The sequence below is a fragment of the Homo sapiens genome, chromosome 5, assembly GCF_000001405.40.
Source record: "Homo sapiens chromosome 5, GRCh38.p14 Primary Assembly".
Classification (NCBI taxonomy): domain Eukaryota; kingdom Metazoa; phylum Chordata; class Mammalia; order Primates; family Hominidae; genus Homo; species Homo sapiens.
Genome location: NC_000005.10, coordinates 93,147,898 through 93,170,281, shown reverse-complemented (window position 1 = coordinate 93,170,281; position 22,384 = coordinate 93,147,898). Strand labels below are relative to the sequence as shown.

The following is a 22,384-nucleotide window of genomic DNA, read 5'->3' as shown; positions in this document are numbered from 1 at the left end:
TTCAACAAGAAGAGCTAAGTATCCTAAATATATATATGCACCCAATACAGGAGCACCCAGATTCATAAAGCAAGTCCTTAGAGACCTACAAAGAGACTTAGACTCCCACACAATAATAATGGGAGACTTTAACACCCCACTGTCAACATTAGACAGATCAACGAGACAGAAAATTAACAAGGATATCCAGGAATTGAACTCAGCTCTGCACCAAGCAGACCTAATAGACACCTATAGAACTCTCCACCCCAAATCAACAGCATATACATTCTTCTCAGCACCATACCGCACCTATTCCAAAATTGACCACATAGTTGGAAGTAAAGCACTCCTCGGAAAATGTAAAAGAACAGAAATTATAACAAACTGTCTCTCAGACCACAGTGCAATCAAACTAGAACTCAGAATTAAGAAACTCACTCAAAACCGCTCAACTACGTGGAAACTGGACAACCTGCTCCTGAATGACTACTGGGTACATAACGAAATGAAGGCAGAGATAAAGATGTTCTTTGAAACCAACGAGAACAAAGACACAACATACCAGAATCTCTGGGACACATTTAAAGCAGTGTGTAGAGGGAAACTTATAGCACTAAATGCCCACAAGAGAAAGCAGGAAAGATCTAAAATTGACACCCTAACATCACAATTAAAAGAACTAGAGAAGCAAGAGCAAACATATTCAAAAGCTGGCAGAAGGCAAGAAATAACTAAGATAAGAGCAGAACTGAAGGAGATAGAGACACAAAAAACCCTTCAAAATATCAATGAATCCAGAAGCTGTTTTTTGAAATGATCAACAAAATTGATAGACCGCTAGCAAGACTAATGAAGAAGAAAAGAGAGAAGAATCAAATAGACACAATAAAAATGATAAAGGGGATATCACCACTGATCCCACAGAAATACAAACTACCATTAGAGAATACTATAAACACCTCTACGCAAATGAACTAGAAAATCTAGAAGAAATGGATAAATTCCTCGACACATACACCCTCCCAAGACTAAACCAGGAAGAAGTTGAATCCCTGAATAGATCAATAACAGGCTCTGAAATTGAGGCAATGATTAATAGCCTACCAACCAAAAAGAGTCCAGGACCAGACGGATTCACAGCCAAATTCTATCAGAGGTACAAGGAAGAGATGGTACCATTCCTTCTGAAACTATTTCAATCAATAGAAAAAGAGGGAATCCTCCCTAACTTATTTTATGAGGCCGGCATCATCGTGATACCAAAGCCTGGCAGAGATACAACAAAAAAAGAGAATTATAGACCAACATCCCTGATGAACATCATGCAAAAATCCTCAATAAAATACTGGCAAACCGAATCCAGCAGTACATCAAAAAACTTATCCACCATGATCAAGTGGGCTTCATCCCCGGGATGCAAGGCTGGTTCAACATCACAAATCAATAAACATAATCCAGCATATAAACAGAAGCAAAGACAAAAACCACATGATTATCTCAATAGACGCAGAAAAGGCCTTTGACAAAATTCAACAGCTCTTCATACTAAAAACTCTGAACAAATTAGGTACTGGTGGGACACATCACAAAACAATAAGAGCTATTTATGACAAATCCACAGCCAATATCATACTGAATGGGAAAAAACTGGAAGCATTCTCTTTGAAAACTGCCACAAGAGAGGGATGCCCTCTCTCACCACTCCTATTCAACATAGTGTTGGAAGTTCTGGCCAGGGCAATCAGGCAGGAGAAAGAAATAAAGGGTATTCAATTAGGAAAAGAGGAAGTCAAATTGTCCTTGTTTGCAGATGACATGATTGTATATCTAGAAAACCCCATTGTCTCAGCCCAAAATCTCCTTAAGCTGATAAGCAACTTCAGCAAAGTCTCAGGATGCAAAATCAATGTGCAAAAATCACAAGCATTCTTATACACCAATAACAGACAAACAGAGAGCCAAATCATAAGTTAACTCCAATTCACAATTGCTTCAAAGAGAATAAAATACCTAGGAATCCAACTTACAAGGGATGTGAAGGACCTCTTCAAGGAGAACTACAAATCACTGCTCAACGGAATAAAAGAGGACACAAACAAATGGAAGAACATTCCATGCTCATGGATAGGAAGAATCAATATCGTGAAAATGGCCATACTGCCCAAGGTTATTTATAGATTCAATGCCATCCCCATCAAGCTACCAATGACTTTCTTCACAGAATTGGAAAAAACTACTTTAAAGTTCATATGGAATCAAAAAAGAACCTGCATTGCCAAGTCAATCCTAAGCCAAAAGAACAAAGCCGGAGGCATCACACTACCTGACTTCAAACTATACTACAAGGCTACAGTAACCAAAACAGCATGGTACTGGTACCAAAACAGAGATATAGACCAATGGAACAGAACAGAGCCCTCAGAAATAATGCTGCGTATCTACAACCATCTGATCTTTGACAAACCTGACAAAAACAAGCAATGGGGAAAGGATTCCCTATTTAATAAATGGTGCTGGGAAAACTGGCTAGCCATATGTAGAAAGCTGAAACTGGATCCCTTCCTTAACCCCTATACAAAAATTAATTCAAGATGGATTAAAGACTTACATGTTAGACCTAAAACCATAAAAACCTTAGAAGAAAACCTAGGCAATACCATTCAGGACATAGGCATGGGCAAGGACTTCATGTCTAAAACACCAAAAACAATGGCAACAAAAGCCAAAATTGACAAATGGGATCTGATTAAACTAAGGAGCTTCTGCACAGCAAAAGAAACTACCATCAGAGTGAACAGGCAACCTACAGAATGGGAGAAAATTTTGCAATCTACTCATCTGACAAAGGGCTAATATCCAGAATCTACAATGAACTCAAACTAATTTACAAGAAAAAAACAAACAACCCCATCAACAAGTGGGCGAAGGATATGAACAGATACTTCTCAAAAGAAGACATTTATGCAGCCAACAGACACATGAAAAAATGCTCATCACCACTGGCCATCAGAGAAATGCAAATCAAAACCACAATGAGATACCATCTCACACTAGTTAGAATGGCGATCACTAAAAAGTCAGGAAACAACAGGCGCTGGAGAGGATGTGGAGAAATAGGAACACTTTTACACTGTTGGTGGGACTGTAAACTAGTTCAACCATTGTGGAAGTCAGTGTGGCGATTCCTCAAGGATCTAGAAGTAGAAATACCATTTAACCCAGTCATCCCATTACTGGGTGTATACCCAAAGGATTATAAATCATGCTGCTATAAAGACACATGCACATGTATGTTTATAGCAGCACTATTCACAATAGCGAAGACTTGGAACCAACCCAAATGTCCATGAATGACAGACTGGATTAAGAAAATGTGGCACATATACACCATGGAATACTATGCAGCCATGAAAGATGAGTTCATGTCCTTTGCAGGGACATGGATGAAGCTGGAAACCATCATTCTCAGCAAACTATCACAAGGACAAAAAGCCAAACACCGCATGTTCTCACTCATAGGTGGGAATTGAACAATGAGAACACTTGGACAGAGGAAGGGGAACATCACACACCAGGGCCTGTAGTGGGGTCGAGGGAGCGAGGAGGGATAGCATTAGGAGATATACCTAATGTAAATGACGAGTTAGTGGGTGCAGCACACCAACATGGCACATGTATACATATGTAACAAACCTGAATGTTGTGCCCATGTACCTTAGAACTTAAAGTATAAAAAAAAATCTACAAAAACAAACAAAAAAACGCAAACACATTGTATGGCTGTACAAAAATATTTTCCGTATATCCTTATTCTATAATTTTTTTCTATTATTGCTTTTTAAATTTTATTTTTAAATTCTCAATCTTTTTTTTAAAAACTAACACACAAACACATATATTAGCCTAGGCCATGTGAGGATGTGCCAGCTTCCCCTTCACTTTGGGGTATGATTGTAAGTTTCCTGAGACCTCCCCAGCCATAGTTCCGGTACAGCTTGCAGAACTGAGTCAATTAAACCTCTTTTCTTTATAAATTACCCAATCTCAGGTAGTTCTTTGTAGCAGTGTCAGGATGGACTAGTATGTTAGCGTTTTGATTTGCATATCCTGACTCTTGCTTGTACAGCACATTACAACAATACTCCTCTGTATTAGTGCTCTTGTCATGAAGCCATGACCATTATTCCATTATAAGTCACCATTCTACACAATTTCCTCACAGTTTATTTGTAATAGATTTTTCAAATGCCGCCTGAATAAATCCCAATGTTTCTCCTGTACCATATTATCATTTATCATTTTAAAATCTGCAAACTTAAGTTGAAATAGCTTGTGACCAACCCCAAATGATTTTGCTATCAGCTTTTGCAGAACCTGCTGGAGGCTTACCTTACCTTAATAAAGTAAACCAAGTCATTCAAAAGAATTCAGATAACTCAAAATATCTGTACCATATTATCTGCTAAAATGTAGTATTTATTTTTTGACATCTTGTACCATGTCAATGCATTTCTCTCGTGTCGTGTTGTGTTTTGCTAGTTTATGGCAGGAAGAAACATAACAGGATGTGACATGATGTAAGTGATGCAGTGACATGTATAATTTAAAGACTGCACTCCTGTTGGAAGCAGACACCTGCAATTAATTCAGTTCCTGGGAATTTGAAATGAAGCTGATGAACAAAACTGAAAATGTCCATAAACTGATGGATGAATGATCTGGTTCACCAATCCAAAGTTAGATTCCAGTATATGAGTACTTTATCATCACTGAAGATCTCAGAGCCTAACATCACCCATGTATAAAGTAGTCGACTATTATTTTCTAAATTTGGTTAGATTCATTAAAAGAGCCTGAGTAGCAAATGTTTAAGGAAAGCATTTTTATTTTTAGAATTTTAATGACTTAGTCATTTAAACTATTTAAATTTCAAAGCAGGTAATTTAATCCAAAGCTCTTTTTGCCATATTTCTCTGGATACATTATGTGAAAGATATATTTTATTTAAAACAATAGTGATTAACACATTTTTCTTTTTTCAAAATTATATTTTGAAATAAAAGCAATACAAGTTTATCATTGGAAACTTGGTAAGTACAAAAAGATATTAAAAATTTGTTGATAAACATCCTAACCAAAAATAACCACTATTAATATTTTAGAGTATTTCTTTCTAATCATTTATTTTAGATTCATATCTACCTATCTTCATTTATCTATATCCGCATCTACATATCTTTACATATAAACAACCATTTGATTATATCTCATAATTGTGTAGATCTGGGATTTTTGCAGGGCTTAATAGGTGTTTGTTGTTTTTCTCACACGGCATTTCCTGAGGTTACTTTGTGACATTCAGTTGGCAAATAGGCTGACCTGAAAGGTCTTAGCTGGCTTTTCTCACACATCTGGCATCTTGACAGGGATGACTGCATGACTTAGTCCAACTGGAGCTGTTGGGCAAGTAAATTAAATCTTTTCTCTAGGATCCTTGCCATGGGGCTGTTAGGACTTCCTCACAGCATGGAACTGAGTTCTAAGAGCAAATGTTCCAGATATACATATATTTTTAAAATATGGTTGGAATACAGCTGTATATTCAGTTTTGAATCTGGCATTTAAGTTTAAAATCATGTACACATTTTCCCATTTCACAAAATTTTTTTGGCAATTGATTTTGATAGCTGCATGATATTACATGTTATGCAACATAATTTACCTAGCCACTAACCTATTGTCACACAATTAAGTAATAATATTTTGATTATATTAATAATACGTAATAAAAATTGTGGTACATACATTTATGACTAAATTTTGTATTAGTTCCTTAATATGTAGTCTAAGAAGCAAAATTAACTAAAGATATGAAAAATTATAAGGATTGTGATAGAGTCAAATTGCTTTTCAGAAATTTACACTGTCATTATTACTGAGTACTTGTCTCACTATACATTCATCAACTTTTAAATTTTTAAGTCTTTATACATTTGATTGTTATAAAAATCTTATTGATGTTATTTGTATTTATGTGATCACTAATAAGGCTGACATTTTTTCCATGTTTACTATTAATTTCTGTTACTTTCATATATTTGTTTATTCATTATTGAGACACTATTTTTAAAACCACTTTATCTGAATTCTTTATGTATTAAACAACTATTTTAAAGACATAAGTTGTGACAAAATATGTCTAACTAATTTTGAACAGAAATTCAAACTGACATGATTCATATAGTTAAGTATTTCCTTACATGACATAAATTTCAATTAGTTTTAAAATACTTTTGAAATAATTTTGATATTTTTTATTATTGGCATAATTTTACCTGCTACTCCTGATTAATCTGAGCTATACAGAAAGATAAAAATTAAGGTCATTATGCAATTTTAAAATTCTTTCTCTCTAAAAAAGATACAAGATATACTCTGAAATCAGAATAAAAATTTGATTACTTTGACTTTCTTAAAATAGCAAATAATTTTTAAAAATGTTTCATATTCTAGAAGTTATATTAACTGTGTATTGCCCATTTATTATAGAGTAAAAAGTCATTTCTGATCTATACTTTTCTAAAATAGTATCAGATCGAATATTACTTCATATATTGTTATATACATAGTTTTTTAAGAGAGAAGAATGACAATATGATCTACCCAAAAATATTTTACTGCCTAATTTAAAAAGCTGTTTGAGTTGTTTAAAGGGCATGATTTCCCTCCCTCCTTCTTTTGTGTTCATTTCAGGACATTATAATACAGATTATAAAAGCAGTGGAAAGTAAAATGGCTGATATACAGATAAATGTAATTACCTAATAGATGTGTACTTGGAATGTGAAGGACTATGAAACTTATTGTGGAAATTCACTGCACAGTTTCAGTAGCAATATCACAAACTGCCTTGGAAAAAACCAAAAAGAATGCAGGAAATCTCAACAAAAATATGTATTCTTTTTTTTTTTGCTGTGAAATGAAAGCATTTCATCATGATGTCCTGCCAAGATTTGTCCTCAATAAATTCAAAGTCTTGTTTGCTTTCCAAAATTCTGTGAAGTGCATTGCTATTGATTCTGAAACACATATTTTCTCAAATAATTCTTACTTGGAGCCAGATTGTTTGATGTCTGCTAACTTGCCTATTAGTCATTTTCCCATATCCTTCCTTTCTGTCATTGCTTTGCTATGCAAGTGTTCCTCTAAACCAGCTTGACCACTTATATTAGCCTTTTGGTGGTTAAGATTGTAAGTTTAGGTAACACATGAATAAAGCCTGAACTTATATTTTTTTCTTTCTTTCTTTTTCTTTGTAAAAAATAGATATTTGGCAATCTTGAAAGAAATGCTTGCTGTAAAGTTATACTACTAGCTACATAATGTGATGCCATATTAAACTGTAATCACCTTTCCACCAAACTAATAAAGACAACATGCTAATTTTTGTATTAAGACACAGTGCAATAACACACAATTGAATGATGCTATTTCATCCCCTTTCTTCTTGAGACTTGTGAAACAGCCTCCTTTATTGCTGATGGGTTTCTAATAATGGTATCCATGTGGCTTTGGAACAACAGTAGCATGTTAATTTATTCCCCAGTGTTACCTAGAGGCCCTGACATGGGTCCAGGACTGGTGACACCCTAATTTAAGTCCTGGGTAGGACCAGGCAGATCAGGTGGCTCAGAGCTAGCACAATAGACTGTGAGGGGAAGCCGCACTCCCTGATCAGGGCAGATCAGGAGGATTCCAAGTGTAATTGGCCTCCAGGGAGTATGTAAGTCACTCTTGTACACCCCCTCAGACCTCCTTAATGCCTTGCCAGCTGGAAGGAAAAGAGCCTCTTGCATTGCCCACAAAGGAAGCAGAGATTGAGGGGAGAAGAACTGGAGAAATTAAAAAAGTGGAAAGAGACAGCAACACAAATAAAGAGGTGGGTAATAATATTGTACATCTAAAAGCCTGGGGAGTGTGTCATAAACAAATGGGCTGCAATGGTCAGTAGGCAATTATATCCTGTTGCCTCATTTAAAATGCTGACTAATTACATAGAGCAAGAGGAAATTAGCACAGGAACCTTATTCTTTGCCAAGTCCACATCAAAATGCTGTAAATGAAAAACATGAAATCAATCTTCCATGGCTTTAAAGAACTCATAGTTCTTGAAGTTTAAACATCTGCACAAAGTCCTCCAAAGTATAAGACAACTTAATGGATATTCAAATCTCAGAAATTAGACTTGTAAAAAAGCTCTCAGAACCCCTAAGGCTCTCACCTTTTTGTGATCTGAACAGTCAGTTTAACATTTTTTTTCTTTAATCTGATATTATTGTTTAAATCCCTAAGTCTCATTCTATTTGCTTTATGTCAGATAATAATTTGCTTATGTGGATAAGTATCTTCTTGGAAAGAATTGTCTCCTGAAATTTCTCTTGGGATTATGTTTGGCATGTTCCAGGATTCAACTGAGTTCTTGAAGTTCCCATTCAAAGAGGTGCTGGGAAATAGCAGAGCTGCATTTTGTTTTTTAAACAACTTTTTCTGAATATAGAATTTTTGAAAATTGAATCACTTTCTTCTATTGATATATAGCTTAAAGATTTGTCACCACTAAAAAGAAAATCAGTTCCCAAAATAACTTAAAGACGTGTAAATAGGCATACAACTAAAAAATCTTTAGTAAATGTACCAAACCTTTGTTAAAATACTCTAAAATATGTGTAAGCATGAAATAGTGGAGACAGTCAGGAAGCCAAACCTACAGTGTGATCTTTAGCAGTGAGGTGGCCTGGGAATCAGGCTTTGCCAGTCTTTGATGGTGGTCATCAATGCTTTGCAAAAGGATGCTTAAAAATTCTGCTATGCCTGTGTAGCAGAGGTTTTTGAGGGTTCGGCTCCAGGGTTCCATCCTGGTCTCAAACACAGAGTGCCACTGCTTTTTCAATGTGGAGTTTTTAAGCAAGATTTCTTTTTGGAGGAAATGAAATATTTCATAATCCTGTTGGTTTAAAAATATTTTTAAAGTGCTGAATAATATTTCATTGTCTGGATGGACCACAGTTTATTTATCCATTCACCTACTGAAGAATATCTTGGTTGCTTCCAAGTTCTGGCAGTTATGAATAAAGCTGCTGTAAACATCTGTGTGCAGGTTTTTACGCAGATGTAAGTTTTCAACTCTTTGAATAAATACCAAGGAGTGCAACTGGCTACATCATATGGTAATACAATGTTTAGTTTTGTAAAAACCTCCAAACTGTCTTCCAAAGTGGCTGTGCCAGAGTGTATTGAGGTGTTTGTGTACATCAGACAATGCACTGTTACTCAGTGCTAAAATGAAATAAGCTTTCAAGCCATAAAAAGGACGGAAGAACCTTAAATGCATATGATTAAGTGAAAGAAGGCAATATGAAAACGCTACATACTGCATGATTCCCAATCTATAACATTCTGGAAAAGGCAAAACTCTGGAGACAGTAAGAAGATCAGTCCCCACTGCCGGGGGTTGTCGGGAGGGAGGGATGAATACATGGAGTACAGAGGATTGTTAGGGTGGTGAAAATACTCTGATGTTATAATGATGGAACCACGTCATTAAACAACTGTCCAAACCTGTAGAATGTACAACAGCAAGAGTGAACCCTAATGTAAATGATAGACTTTGGGAGGTAATGATACGTCAATATAGGCTCATCTATTGTAACAAATATACTCTTTGGGATTGATAGAAAGGTGGGGGATATTGATAATGGGGGTGTCTGTGCAGCATTGTGGCAGGGAGTATATGGGAAATCTCTCCTCTCAATTTTGCTGTGCACCAAAAAATAAAGTCTATAAAAATTTTTAAAAGGCTGTACTAGATGCCCTCTTGGGACCTAGTGGGCTCAAATAGTCTATGATTCTGTGTCAAATATTCTCATGAAAAGCCCACCATGAGGTACAGCAGTATATCTAAAATAAAAATTATCAGTGAGCAAACAAGGGATCTTACCATTTGTGAAGATTAAAAATTAAATTTTTTTCCAGTGATCAAAAAAAAGTCTTTTTAGGAAATGAATTTAAATAACCCTTCTGAATGGTTGTCGTATAGCTATATTTCACTTGCTGTTTTAACAGGGTGGCGTGTTGTTGGCAGGGCAGAAGGAAGATATTCTTTGACATGTCCCCTCCTTCAGGTGCAGGGCTCCTTCTGTCTCATTCTGGCAGAGGCAATGTTGCCACAGATTCATTTGCTATCATGGTGGTAAAAAATAGAGGAAAAAAAATAAGAAGACAGTATGAAATTAAGACAACTAAAAAGTATAATGAGGTTAATATTTTTGCAAGTATTGCTGATGTATTTAGCAAGTTGCTTAGTAACTTTTTATTCATAGAACCAATAGCATTTATAGTTTCAGGCAGAGTCCCTTGGCATAGAAGGCCATTGCTTAGCTTGGAGTAGCAACCTCAATTCTTAAGTTTAGGGTTTTCTAATTTCATGAGCTTCCCTCTACATGCCAGCTCCATTGTAGAGATATATAGAATGTGATGTAAGAAAAGTTCCCGGGGGCTGGGCACGGTGGCTCCCGCCTGTAATCCCAGCACTTTGGGAGGCAGAGGCGGGTGGATCACAAGGTCAGGAGTTCAAGACCAGCATGACCAACATGGTGAAACCACGTCTCTACTAAAAAATACAAAAATTAGCCAGGCATGGTGGCATGCACCTGTAATCCCAGCTACTCAGAAGGCTGAGGCCAGAGAATTGCTTGAACCTGGGAGGCAGAGGTTGCAGTGAGCTGAGATCGTGCCATTGCACTCCAGCCTGGGCAACAGAGCAAGACTCTTCTCAAAAAAAAAAAAAAAAAAAGAACACTTCCCATTAGGAGGAAACATAAAGCCTTCTGATGGGGAAGGAGTGTCATTCAAAGAGAGAAGTAAATGTAAGGATAGAGACATTCATGTCCAGGCTCATCTCTCTGGCTTCGAACCCTTGCTGGCAGTGGGAGGGGTAGTAAAACTAAGGGGAATGGGTGGAGAAGGAAGGCTCGGTAGAGGGATGCTATGCATATTTGCTATATAGAATTCTGGGAGGAAACTTTGTCATGGCAAATCCTCCTAACAAGAAGTGTTTGCAGCAGAGCTGGAAGGGCAGAATGGCTTGTTCAGGCAGACACAAGCCTGAGACATGACCTCAGATCCCCACAGTCTGCTGAGGCTGTCAGCTGGCCCGCTACCAGCACAGTCACTGGGGTGACGGTCAAAGTGGCCTGCCACAGAGTCCTGCAACAGGGAAGATGCCCACGTTGAGGATCAAATGAAAGCCACATCTGGAGCAAAGGCAATCTTATAGCCCAAGACAGCCAAGATGTTTTTGTGGCTTTGTCATATGAAGAAGAGGGTGAGCTCACTGAGGAGCTATCACTGTGCTAAGTAAAGAAACCACTAATTTCATCAGCTATGATCAACAATGGAGTCCATGAAGACGGACATGGCTACCCAGAAATGAGCAGGGTTGGATCTTTTCCACTCACATGGGCTGTATCAATTCCTCATGCACTCAGCTGCCATGCTAAGCATGAGTAGGAAGACAAGGTTGCCTGAGACTGTCCTTGTTTTTAGTTCTGTCCCAGTTTTTCCAGTCTGCATCCTGGAAAAGACCTCGGTACCAAGCAATCTGAGACAATTGGTCACCCTACTTTCAAAGTCAGAAAGGCAAGATTCATAGCAAAATGCTTCAACTTACAGCATAGTGCCAAGAAGTAGGACTGCTAACATCATGCAGAGGCCAGAGGGTAATGCCCACCCAGTAACTAAAGGCCTATGTCATCACAGTGGTTTGCCCATTACAAAGGTCATGTGATTTTTTTTGAGTGCTCCACATAAGTTAAATGAGAGGTGTTTTGTCCCGGTGTTATAAAATGTTTTTAGATCTGGGTTATTGTCCCTTGTGGTAATTGAGACTAGAATGGGAAGTAGTCATTCCTCTGTTTTCAAATAGATTGCACTCTTCCTTTTAACTCAGATCGAAGGGGTCCGTGATTTAAGGTTAATAGTTTTAAGTTAAATATCTATTTCTTTGAAAGGCAGAAGAAAATATTGTGGGCTTCTCTAATGGCATTGAACATTTCCTGCCACATTTCCTGTTTTATAGATCATCATGGCAGACATTGGTGGTTAAGCAAGTCAGGTCTGGGGTCTGGCTTCAGATTCCCTGGGTTCAAATCTCCTCTCTCTACCTTCACCGGCCAGACCTTATGGCTCTTACTTAAACTCATGCTGACTTGGTTTTCTCATATATAAAATGGGGATGATGTTAGTAAAGGTAATATTATTTATCTTGAAGTTTTTTTGTTAGGATTATATGAGTTAATGAGTAAGCACTCTTTCAGTGTTTCTGGCACATTAAAAACCCTCAATAAATGTGTTTCTGTTCTGTTTTTTTTTTTTTTTTTTTTTTTTTTTTTTTTTTTGAGACGGAATCTTGCTCTGTCACCCAGGCTGGAGTGCAGTGGTGCGATCCTGGCTCACTGTAACCTCCGCCTCCCGCGTTCAAGCAATTCTCTGCCTCAGCCTCCCAAGTAGCTGGGATTACAGGTGCCAGCCACCATGCCTGGCTAATTCTTGTATTTTTAGTAGAGACAGGGTTTCACCATCTTGGCCAGGCTGGTCTTGAACTCCTGACCTCGTGATTCACCCACCTCGACCTCCCAAAGTGCTGGGGTTTCTGTTCTTTTAAATTAATGTATGACTCCTCCACTAGGTTTAAGCTCTTTGATCACAGGATCACTGTATACTTTTGCCCACCTGTTCATCTCCAGTATCTGGGATAGAGTAAGCATTAAATACTTGCTGCTATTATTAGAACTAATTTAAAAAATATCTAAAGTCTTCATACCATAATTTTTTTCTGTCTGGATTTCTCTCTTTCTTACAACTTATCCTTCTTAGACTTACAAGAAAAATGTAAAGAAAAAACCTTGGAAATTCATTGGGGGTAAGTATTTGAGAATTATTATGAAGATATAGGCATATTGGCAATCCCAAACTTACTGTCTTCTAAAACGTCTGAGACAGACAGAATAGAGTGAAACACCAATCTGGGAATCTGAAAATCTGTCTTCAGATTATTTCCCTGCCAAAAAACTTTTCCATGGTGTTCTCTTTAAAATCTTTAAAATTAAAGGGTTGGACTAGATGAGGTCTGAGGTCATGTCCAGTTCTAGACTTTAGCAATTCCAGTAGAGAATAAAACAAGACAGCATACCATTAAGTACCCAATTGTGTACTGAACAACATGATAATGCTTTTTAAAAACATCGTTTCTTTCTCTAAAAAAAAAAATCCTTCAAGTGCTAATGTTTTTCTTCTGAAAACCTGCTTTCTTTGCGCTGGACTACTCTGATTCAGATGGAAAAAGCTAACACACCTGGGTAGATGACTCCCCAGCAGCGGAGAGCATCTGACAGCAGAGACACAACTGACATTATTGCACACCATGTGTCAATGAGAGAATGAGTATGGCTCCTACCTAGAAGGTTCATGAGCTGAAGGAGGCTGGCAAATTACTCCATAATTACAGCTGTCTTCGCAGCAAGGCAGAAAACAACAAGAAGCATCGCCTCCACATCTTGAGATAGCTGAACATCGCACCACCTTTCAAATTGCTTTTTTCCTCTTGTCCTTCTGTTTGTACTTTTTCTTTCTGTAAGACAAATTGCTCTAGTCCTCTTGCTGTGAAAGCATGTAGTGAGTTGCCCAGCTCTAAGTCCGACGGCATAGGATACTCTCCAACTTGAATTTGCTAAACGTAGGTAGGAGATCATTTGATTTCTCTTGAGTTCCTCAGTTAGGAGGAGTCTCATAAAAATCCTTCACAGGCTCTAAATTATCACTTAGAATTACTTTCCTTCCTGTGATGGTACCAGAGTGATTGACTCTTCCAAGTATCACTGCTAATATCAGGCAAGTCTGAGAAGGAAGACAAATATTCTAGTCCAGAAATCTCACTCTATTAGGAGAGGCAAGATCTCCATTTGCTTTTCTCTCTAACACTTTGTTTGTTCTGGCACTACTTTCTCTCTCATCATCCACAATCCTTTTGGAATAAAAATGCATGCATAGAAGTGTAGAGTTTGCTTCTAGTTGAAATTCCCCTTGTTACTTAAATACTCAAGGGATTTGTTTGGTGATTGTTGTTTACGCATGGCTATTTCTGGTAAGGAGACTGCACAAGTACCTCTATGTAGAGCTATGGAAAAGGGTACAGCAGTAGTATCCAATAATACTAGTCATGACTAGTCTAGTCATTGGTAGTGTCTAGGCTTCCTTCCTGCTAAAAGTAGGGAGGAGTAGGAGAAAAGCTTCCATTGGATGGGAGATACTTTGTGCACAATTTTGTTTGTCCGAGAATTGATGGCAAACAGGAGTTGGTTTAGACCAAAAGGCAAGGCTCCCATATTCTTTTCAGTGGCATCCTCTGTCAATCTTATTTCCTGGCCTTCCAAGCATCTAGGTGGGAAGTGACATGCTTTGAAATTACAGATTCTTAGAGTAGCAGACTAGTTAGAGGTGTCCTGCCTGAGGATGTAGCCTTTCACAAGGCTGGTCCCCACCAGGTCCTTTTCTCCTTTTCCTGTTGCCTAATCCAAGCTCCCTGTTGAGCACACCTCTGTTCAGTTGTCTCAAGACTATGTATATACCCAGAGCTCTTTCTCATTGGAGCTAATTGGAGCTGTCTCTGATGCTACTTCTAATCCTGTATGTTGATTATGCTGTTTCCTACTCCTCAGTAGGGTGGGCAAGTGGGCATGTGTGGTTTAAGACTCTCTTAGGGTTTTGTGGGAGGGAAGCCAAGCATAATTTTGTTGCATGGTGAGGGGCAAAGGGAGCCCCTGAAGTTAGAGAGTGAAATCTAGAAAGAACCCTTTCTTATTCTTTTCTTATTGTTTGTGTTCTGTGTTTGGGTGTTTACTTGTTTGTCAACTGCCTGTCTCTCAGGAGCTTAAGCTTTGTGACAGCAGAGACTATTGGTTCCACTCATTCTGTGTTATCTAGACTAATTCAGTGCCTAACACATACATGATGCTTGATAAATATCTATTAAATGGAAAAAAAGGTAGAAATCCCTTTTAAATTATGGGTCAGAGTGTAGATATGTATGCCCATGTGTGTCATGCACGTGCATGAGAGATAAGAGAGAGAGAGAGATTTGGGAAAACTGTTTACTTCAGAGCTTCTCAAACTTTTTTTTGCTCACCGTGTTCTTAGTGTTTAAATTTTTTTCTCACAGCATTCCTAGGCCAAAATAAATAAGTAACAGTTCAATTAAGTGGTTGGGTCCAAAAACACTTGAGTGTTTATGTCCTAACAACTTATTGGCCATTTAAAAAATTACACATCAATTGAAAAAATATATTTTTGTTTGACTCTTATCTAGTATGACATACAAATGGGGTGTGTGTGCTTATTGGGCTTCATGCAGCTTCTCAAACTTTGAAATCAGATGAGACGTTGCAAGCCTTAGATCCTGTTTCACATTCTACATTGATTTTCATGTGGTGCCTGCTCATAGTAACTGCTGAGAACCTAGTTTTGCATAGGCATGATGTCACCAAAAGGAATCTAGGAATCAGTAATGACACTGTGAATAACTCAAAGCTGGTAGTTTATGGAGTATTTGACAGATATTCAATATCTCTGTGTTTCCCTCTGAAATTCAAAAATATCTTATCATGAATTCATTGTGGCATGCTGAGGTGCTTTGGTGCAAAGTTTGAGAACTGTATGGTTACATTCATGTTGATTTCAAATACTGGAAGAATCACGGGAAAAGATATTTTATGATAATAAACAGTAATACAACTTTTAATCGTATTGTGAATTACTTTCCATTTATGGCTAATTATCACTCAATAGCAGTCATCATTACATGTGTCTTAGGTTAATTTTGCTAAGTTGAATTTGATTAAGAGTCAGCTCCTTACTTTCAAAGCCTATGACTCTAAAGCAGTGAGACTAATTTCTCAGATAATACATGTGAATTGGTTTCCTCACTTTACATCCTGCAGGTTTAACCTTTACACTTTGTGACCTATGGAACATGGTTGTCTGCTTACAACTTAAAAAAGGGAATGGGGGGAGAGTACTGCTGATTTTGCTCACACTCTCAGCATTAGAGGGCTTATAGCATCTGCAACACATCACAGCACTTGTGTCAACCTACAAATTATCTGTTAGAACTGGAGGAATTTACTTAAAAGGCTTCCAGTGAAATCCTATGACAAATAGGTACAATCTAACCTCACCTTTCTCACTATATGCTTTATTCTTGGCATTTATAAATGTTCATTACTGTTGTGCATTCTTGAGTAAATTTGGATTTTGGAAGAGAATTTATAATGCTTATCATTCCTTCTATAGAACCCAGCTAACCACTGCTCTTTCTTAGCCGAAATGTGAGATCTCAGAGGGTTAAGTGAGTTTCCCCCACACAAAAAGTCAACATCAAGTATTTGTTTAAATGTGGACTTCTTGACAAACACATCTCTCCATTTGCAAGGCCCATGAATTTAAAGCATCCAGTAATAACAGTCCTGTTCTTCTTTTCTGAGCTGGAAGCTCCTCGTGAAATGGTATCCTGCCAAAGTGCCACTGCAATAAACTCGCATCCTAACATTGGTGTCAAAGTGCCAGTGAACCAAGACTGGCAGCGGACTAATTTGGGAGAATTGTCTGCCTTAGCCTTCTTCACTCACTCCTACTGATCAACTCACCCCCATAAGCTATTCAGCTTGTCAGTTGTTCCATGGGTAGAGGGAGGAGGGGATGAAAAGGAATTAGGATATGCTTCTCCCTTTCACTTAATACCTAGCATCCTCTGCAACACTGGTACGTCCTTTAAGAATGCCGGGAGCTCTCTTTCTCCATTAGAGGAATGACTTCATAAGACTCTAGAGGTAAGAAATACACCCCTAGCTAAAGGTGGCATTATTTATAATATGCAAGGTTTTGACAATATGTAACACTTTTACAGACATTCTGAAATAAATTGAATACTTAGCTACAAGCCTGTCTGCACTAATAGATGTCTTGCCTGATTAGTTAATTATCTGTTTCCTTCTATTAAAAATGATCAATTAAGTGAACGGAAGGAAGCAGCTGCATTGCTAGGGACAGTAAGGTGGGTGAGAACCCTTCTGCAAAGTTGGTTTGGAGTAAAGAGCTACAAAAATGCAATCTGTGAGCTACTAATGCCTACTTTTTGATAAACTAAGCCCTGGCTCTCCATGGCCACACTTGAAGCCACAAATGCAGATTTGACCTTTTTCTCTCAATTCATTACGTATGTATAAAAGGGATTAACAAAAATTCTGTCTTCAGTGACATGAGCCTCCTATGGGATAATATGCAGAAAGCTCCTAGCACACAGCAAGCATACAATAATTTATTTTTTCTCTTTCTCCTCTTCCTTATGATTATTGACTTAACTACCTGAAATTGGTACACCATGATGAAACTTTGCATTAATGCAAAATGACCCCAAATGTTTGATCTGTAGTTGAATATCACATGAGAAGAAAAATATTTAACTATAGAAGTCCTACCTAGCATGAAGAAATTAGGCAAAATGAATATGGGCCTCAGAGGTCCTGACTTCTTATTTGTAAGAACAACTTACCCTAAGGCAGTGATTCTCACTCACTGTGTAGCTTGTGAACTGCTCACAATGCTTAACAAGTGTATGTATATTTCAGAGGGAGGGAGGGGAGAAGGGGGAGAGAGAGAGAGAGAGAGAGAAAGGAAAGTTTTCATTGGTTGTAAAGAGCAAGCTCATTTTTTTCCTTCTTCATTTGTTTTCTTATACCCAGAAAATTTTCTGCTCATGACTCCTTTCTGAAAGGTATCTTCTGTGCAACATGCATATTATGGGTATAATTTTTTCTCCTTTTAATGCAGTTGTTTTATAGTGAGGGGCCAAAGAGTTATTTTAATCTCACAGAGGCCAGGTTTTTTTGATTATATTTTTTAACCTTAGTTTTTTAGTTCACACTGTCAGGCTTATAGGCCATCTTCTTCAAGACACTTCACTTTCATTTTCAATCAATTTCTCTCCACGACTTTTCACATAGCTTTCTTCACACTACTAATTTCACTTTAGAACTGGCATCCTATCCCACATCCCCGGACTTGCCGTGCTAACATGTTTAAACATGATTAGTCTTTATTAATGTAAAAGAGACAAAGCTTCAAGAATCACACACCTCTTAATTTGCTATAGTTCCAGAGGGGGACCTCAACGCTGGAAACTGAAAATGAATGGACTCCTTGAGAGGCAGATATACTGGGTGTTCTGCTAAGTGGAAAGTTTTGCATTACGGTTGCAGACAGGATTTTCTTTAAGTTGCATTCCAGCTAAAATCCCTGCTATATCGAATACCACAAAATATCCAAATAATTAAAAAACATTTCCTGGTCACAAATGATGATTAATATACTTTCAGCAAGTTTGTTACACATTTAGTTCAGAAAATGAAGGGATTTTGACATCATTATGGTGGTGTTTGACCTCCATTATGATCTTGAGAATAATACGATAATACTTTCTTAATGCAGTATTCATTTTGTTATTCAACAAATACGAGCTAAGAATTGTTGTAAGCACTCAAGAAAGGGTGGAGTATTATGACGCTACCCACAAAGGACACAGAGTTTAGATGAACACTTCGTCTATTTAATACTTTCTTGAAATTTCTGTCTAAAATTTCAAAAGATTATATATTTTATAAAACATATCCATAAATATACCTGTTACTTGATGTAAGTCTCCTATTTTGGGAGAATTTGATATGGGTTACACATATACAATAAGATGTTAACATAAGGCTAAAATATTAAGGGCCATATGTAGGAACAGAGGAGATCATTAGATCTGAAATCTAAGCTAGGGATATTTTCTACAGTTGCACATTAAATTTAGTTCCTGTGGGGGTCACAAAGGCCAATAAAGAAATTCCATGAGTCATGTAGTATTCATTTTCTAATAAAAGGATATATACCAGTTGGTAAGAAGAAAATGTTCCTGGAAATAAACAAGAACCTAACCATGAATTACTAAAATAAAAGAAAATATTGAAAGTATTTTTATAGTGAGGGGCCAAAGAATTATTTTAACCTCACAGAGGCCAGCTTTTTCTGATTATATTTTTTAGCCTTATTTTTTTTGTTCACACTGTCAGGCTTATAGGCCATCTTCTTCAAGACACTTCACTTTCATTTTCAATCAATTTCTCTTTAATAGTGGCCTTTAAAGAAGATATGGAAAATGTATTCATACTGTCATTTCTTATGCTGACCCTTAGTAAAAATCAAGAGAATAATGCTGTATTACAGTCATGTCAATGTGTTTCCATAGGGAATAGAATGAAAGAGTCACCAGGTCCCCTGGAGCTTGGTGTTTTGTTGCAGCTAGAGGTGACTGTGTGTGCTGTCTATGCTTTGACTGGGGATGCATCAGAACACCAGCATTTCTCAGATGAACCAATCTAGACAGCCCATTGCCAGGCTCCTGCTGACAATGTTGATACCAATGCCACTGCTCTGCAGGCCTATGGACACTGGGCTGTTCCTGAGCAGTGTACGGGTACTTCACCTTTCCAACCTGCGTCGTCTCCACTGCCCAAGCAGCTGTCTCAGTCTACTCTGCAGCTATTTGGACCATCCTTATTTTCACCAGAAATGCTCCTGGACTTGTTCACCTGCTGCTGTGGCTCATGTTGGGGCACCACAAGATGACCTGGGGGCCTAAATAAGTGACTTGGGGACACCATAAGGTGGCTTGGAGAATTTCTTTTTATCAACTGCTTGGGAAGTATTTCAAAACTTAAACAACCAGAATGGTTATGTCAGTATATATCCCAGGTCCCCTGATAAGAATGTCATCTTTTTTTCCCACTAGACTCAATTAGTACTGTGTAGTCTCCTTTCCTGTGGACATTTATCATATATGTTTCTTATCTTATCTACAAGACTATAAAGTCCATGAGGGCAGTGTCTGAATCTGATTTGATTTCTATGCCCGAAAACACTTAGTACAGTTCTTCATACTTATTGAATACCTGTTGAATGAATAAATGAATGTGAGGCAGTTATTCAAATCCCCTGGGTCTAGGCACATTGGTGAAAACAGGTAAGCTGTCTTGTGATTTTTCAATCTCTATCATTTAGTTAGTTAGATTGTTAAATTAGTTAGCTGATTGTTAGTTGGTTTGAACACTTAAAAAAGTCCATCCTCGTCATAGGGGATGATATCTACATTTAATCATAAAGATGAGGTTTTTAAAAATAAAAACCTGCAGAAAGATAGATGTAATTAGACCCTAATCCCTGAAGTATTATATTTTCTCTTTTAGGTTGAGTACCAGTAGAAACCTCATATTTACCTGGAAGATTACTTTTAGGAAGCTTGAAGAATTCTCTCTTCCAACTTGGTTGTAAGTAGGATCACCATGTAATTTATTGTCTAAACTGGGACACTTTTTAAAAATTATTATTATACTTTAAGTTTTAGGGTACATGTGCACAATGTGCAGGTTAGTTACATATGTATACATGTGCCATGCTGGTGTGCTGCACCCAATAACTCGTCATTTAGCATTAGGTATATCTCCTCATGCTATCCCTACCCCCTCCCCCCACCCCACAACAGTCCCCAGAGTGTGATGTTCCCCTTCCTGTGTCCATGTGTTCTCACTGTTCAATTCCCACCTATGAGTGAGAACATGTGGTGTTTGGTTTTTTGTTCTTGCCATAGTTTACTGAGAATGATGATTTCCAATTTCATCCATGTCCCTACAAAGGACATGAACTCATCATTTTTTATGGCTGCATAGTATTCCATGGTGTATATGTGCCACATTTTCTTAATCCAATCTATCATTTTTGGACATTTGGGTTGGTTCCAAGTCTTTGCTATTGTGAATAGTGCCGCAGTAAACATACGTGTGTATGTGTCTTTATAGCAGCATGATTTATAATCCTTTGGGTATATACCCAGTAATGGGATGGCTGGGTCAAATGGTATTTCTAGTTCTAGATCCCTGAGGAATCGCCACACTGACTTCCACAATGGTTGAACTAGTTTACAGTCCCACCAACAGTGTAAAAGTGTTCCTATTTCTCCACATCCTCTCCAGCACCGGTTGTTTCCTGACTTTTTAATGATTGCCATTCTAACTGGTGTGAGATGGTATCTCATTGTGGTTTTGATTTGCATTTCTCTGATGGCCAGTGATGATGAGCATTTTTTCATGTGTTTTTTGGCTGCATAAATGTCTTCTTTTGAGAAGTGTCTGTTCATATCCTTCACCCACTTTTTGATGGGGTTGTTTGTTTTTTTCTTGTAAATTTGTTTGAGTTCATTGTAGATTCTGGATATTAGCCCTTTGTCAGATGAGTAGGTTGTGAAAATTTTCTCCCATTTTGTAGGTTGCCTGTTCACTCTGATGGTAGTTTCTTTTGCTGTGCAGAAGCTCTTTAGTTTAATTAGATCCCATTTGTCAATTTTGTCTTTTGTTGCCATTGCTTTTGGTGTTTTAGACATGAAGTCCTTGCCCGTGCCTATGTCCTGAATGGTAATGCCTAGGTTTTCTTCTAGGGTTTTTATGGTTTGAGGTCTAACGTTTAAGTCTTTAATCCATCTTGAATTAATTTTTGTATAAGGTGTAAGGAAGGGATCCAGTTTCAGCTTTCTATATATGGCTAGCCATAAACTGGGACACTTTTGAAGGTGAGAAATGGCACTTTTAATAATTATGCCTGACCACAGGCACTAGCCGAGACTGTCCCTGTGCAAACAAGAAAGTATGGTCACCTAGCTAAACGTTTATTTTTAATTTTTGAATGACTGGTTTTCGGTGTGACAATGTCTTCCATCTCCTTCAGTGGCCATAAAAGAGGCCAGAAATGACACAATTTGGACATTTTACACTTCCCCAAATTGCCTTTTTAATGTATGCAACAGATCAGGGTCTTTCCTGTATCCTTCATTCCACCTCAGAACACAATCTCAATTCCTAGGCGTAGAAGGGAATAAAATAAAAATGGCATTCTTTTTTATTCTAGAATACAGAAGATAAAAACTTACACAGATGCACCTCAAGCCAAGCAGCAGGTGAAATTCTTAGAGAAAACTGATTTTCAGGAGATGACTGGAATTTTAAATTGTAAGCTTTAAAATTTGGTAAGATTCTAATGAAAAGGATGGACTCAATTTTGGCAGGAACACCTATCATCACTTTTTCTTTCACTGGAAGGGATATTTGATCTTGACTTAGAGGAACATAGAAGTAGGCATAATGCTTGACATGAAATAAAATAGAAGCCTAAATCCATGGGGAGGCAATTCTAGCTGAGTGATCAG

The 22,384-nt window shown here is 37.6% G+C and overlaps 1 long non-coding RNA gene across 2 annotated transcripts in view; it reads left to right on the top strand.

The window, feature by feature from the left end:
* Window positions 1-22,384, top strand: part of LOC105379083 (uncharacterized) — a 55,405-nt gene that overhangs the window by 20,908 nt on the left and 12,113 nt on the right. The window contains exons 1-2 of one of the 2 annotated variants that reach the window (XR_948569.3): window positions 7,795-7,921; window positions 20,376-20,456. This is a non-coding gene — a long non-coding RNA (uncharacterized LOC105379083). Of the gene's footprint in view, window positions 1-7,794; window positions 7,922-20,375; window positions 20,457-22,384 lie in introns of those variants that run through there. The other variant, XR_007058869.1, reaches the window with a different exon arrangement.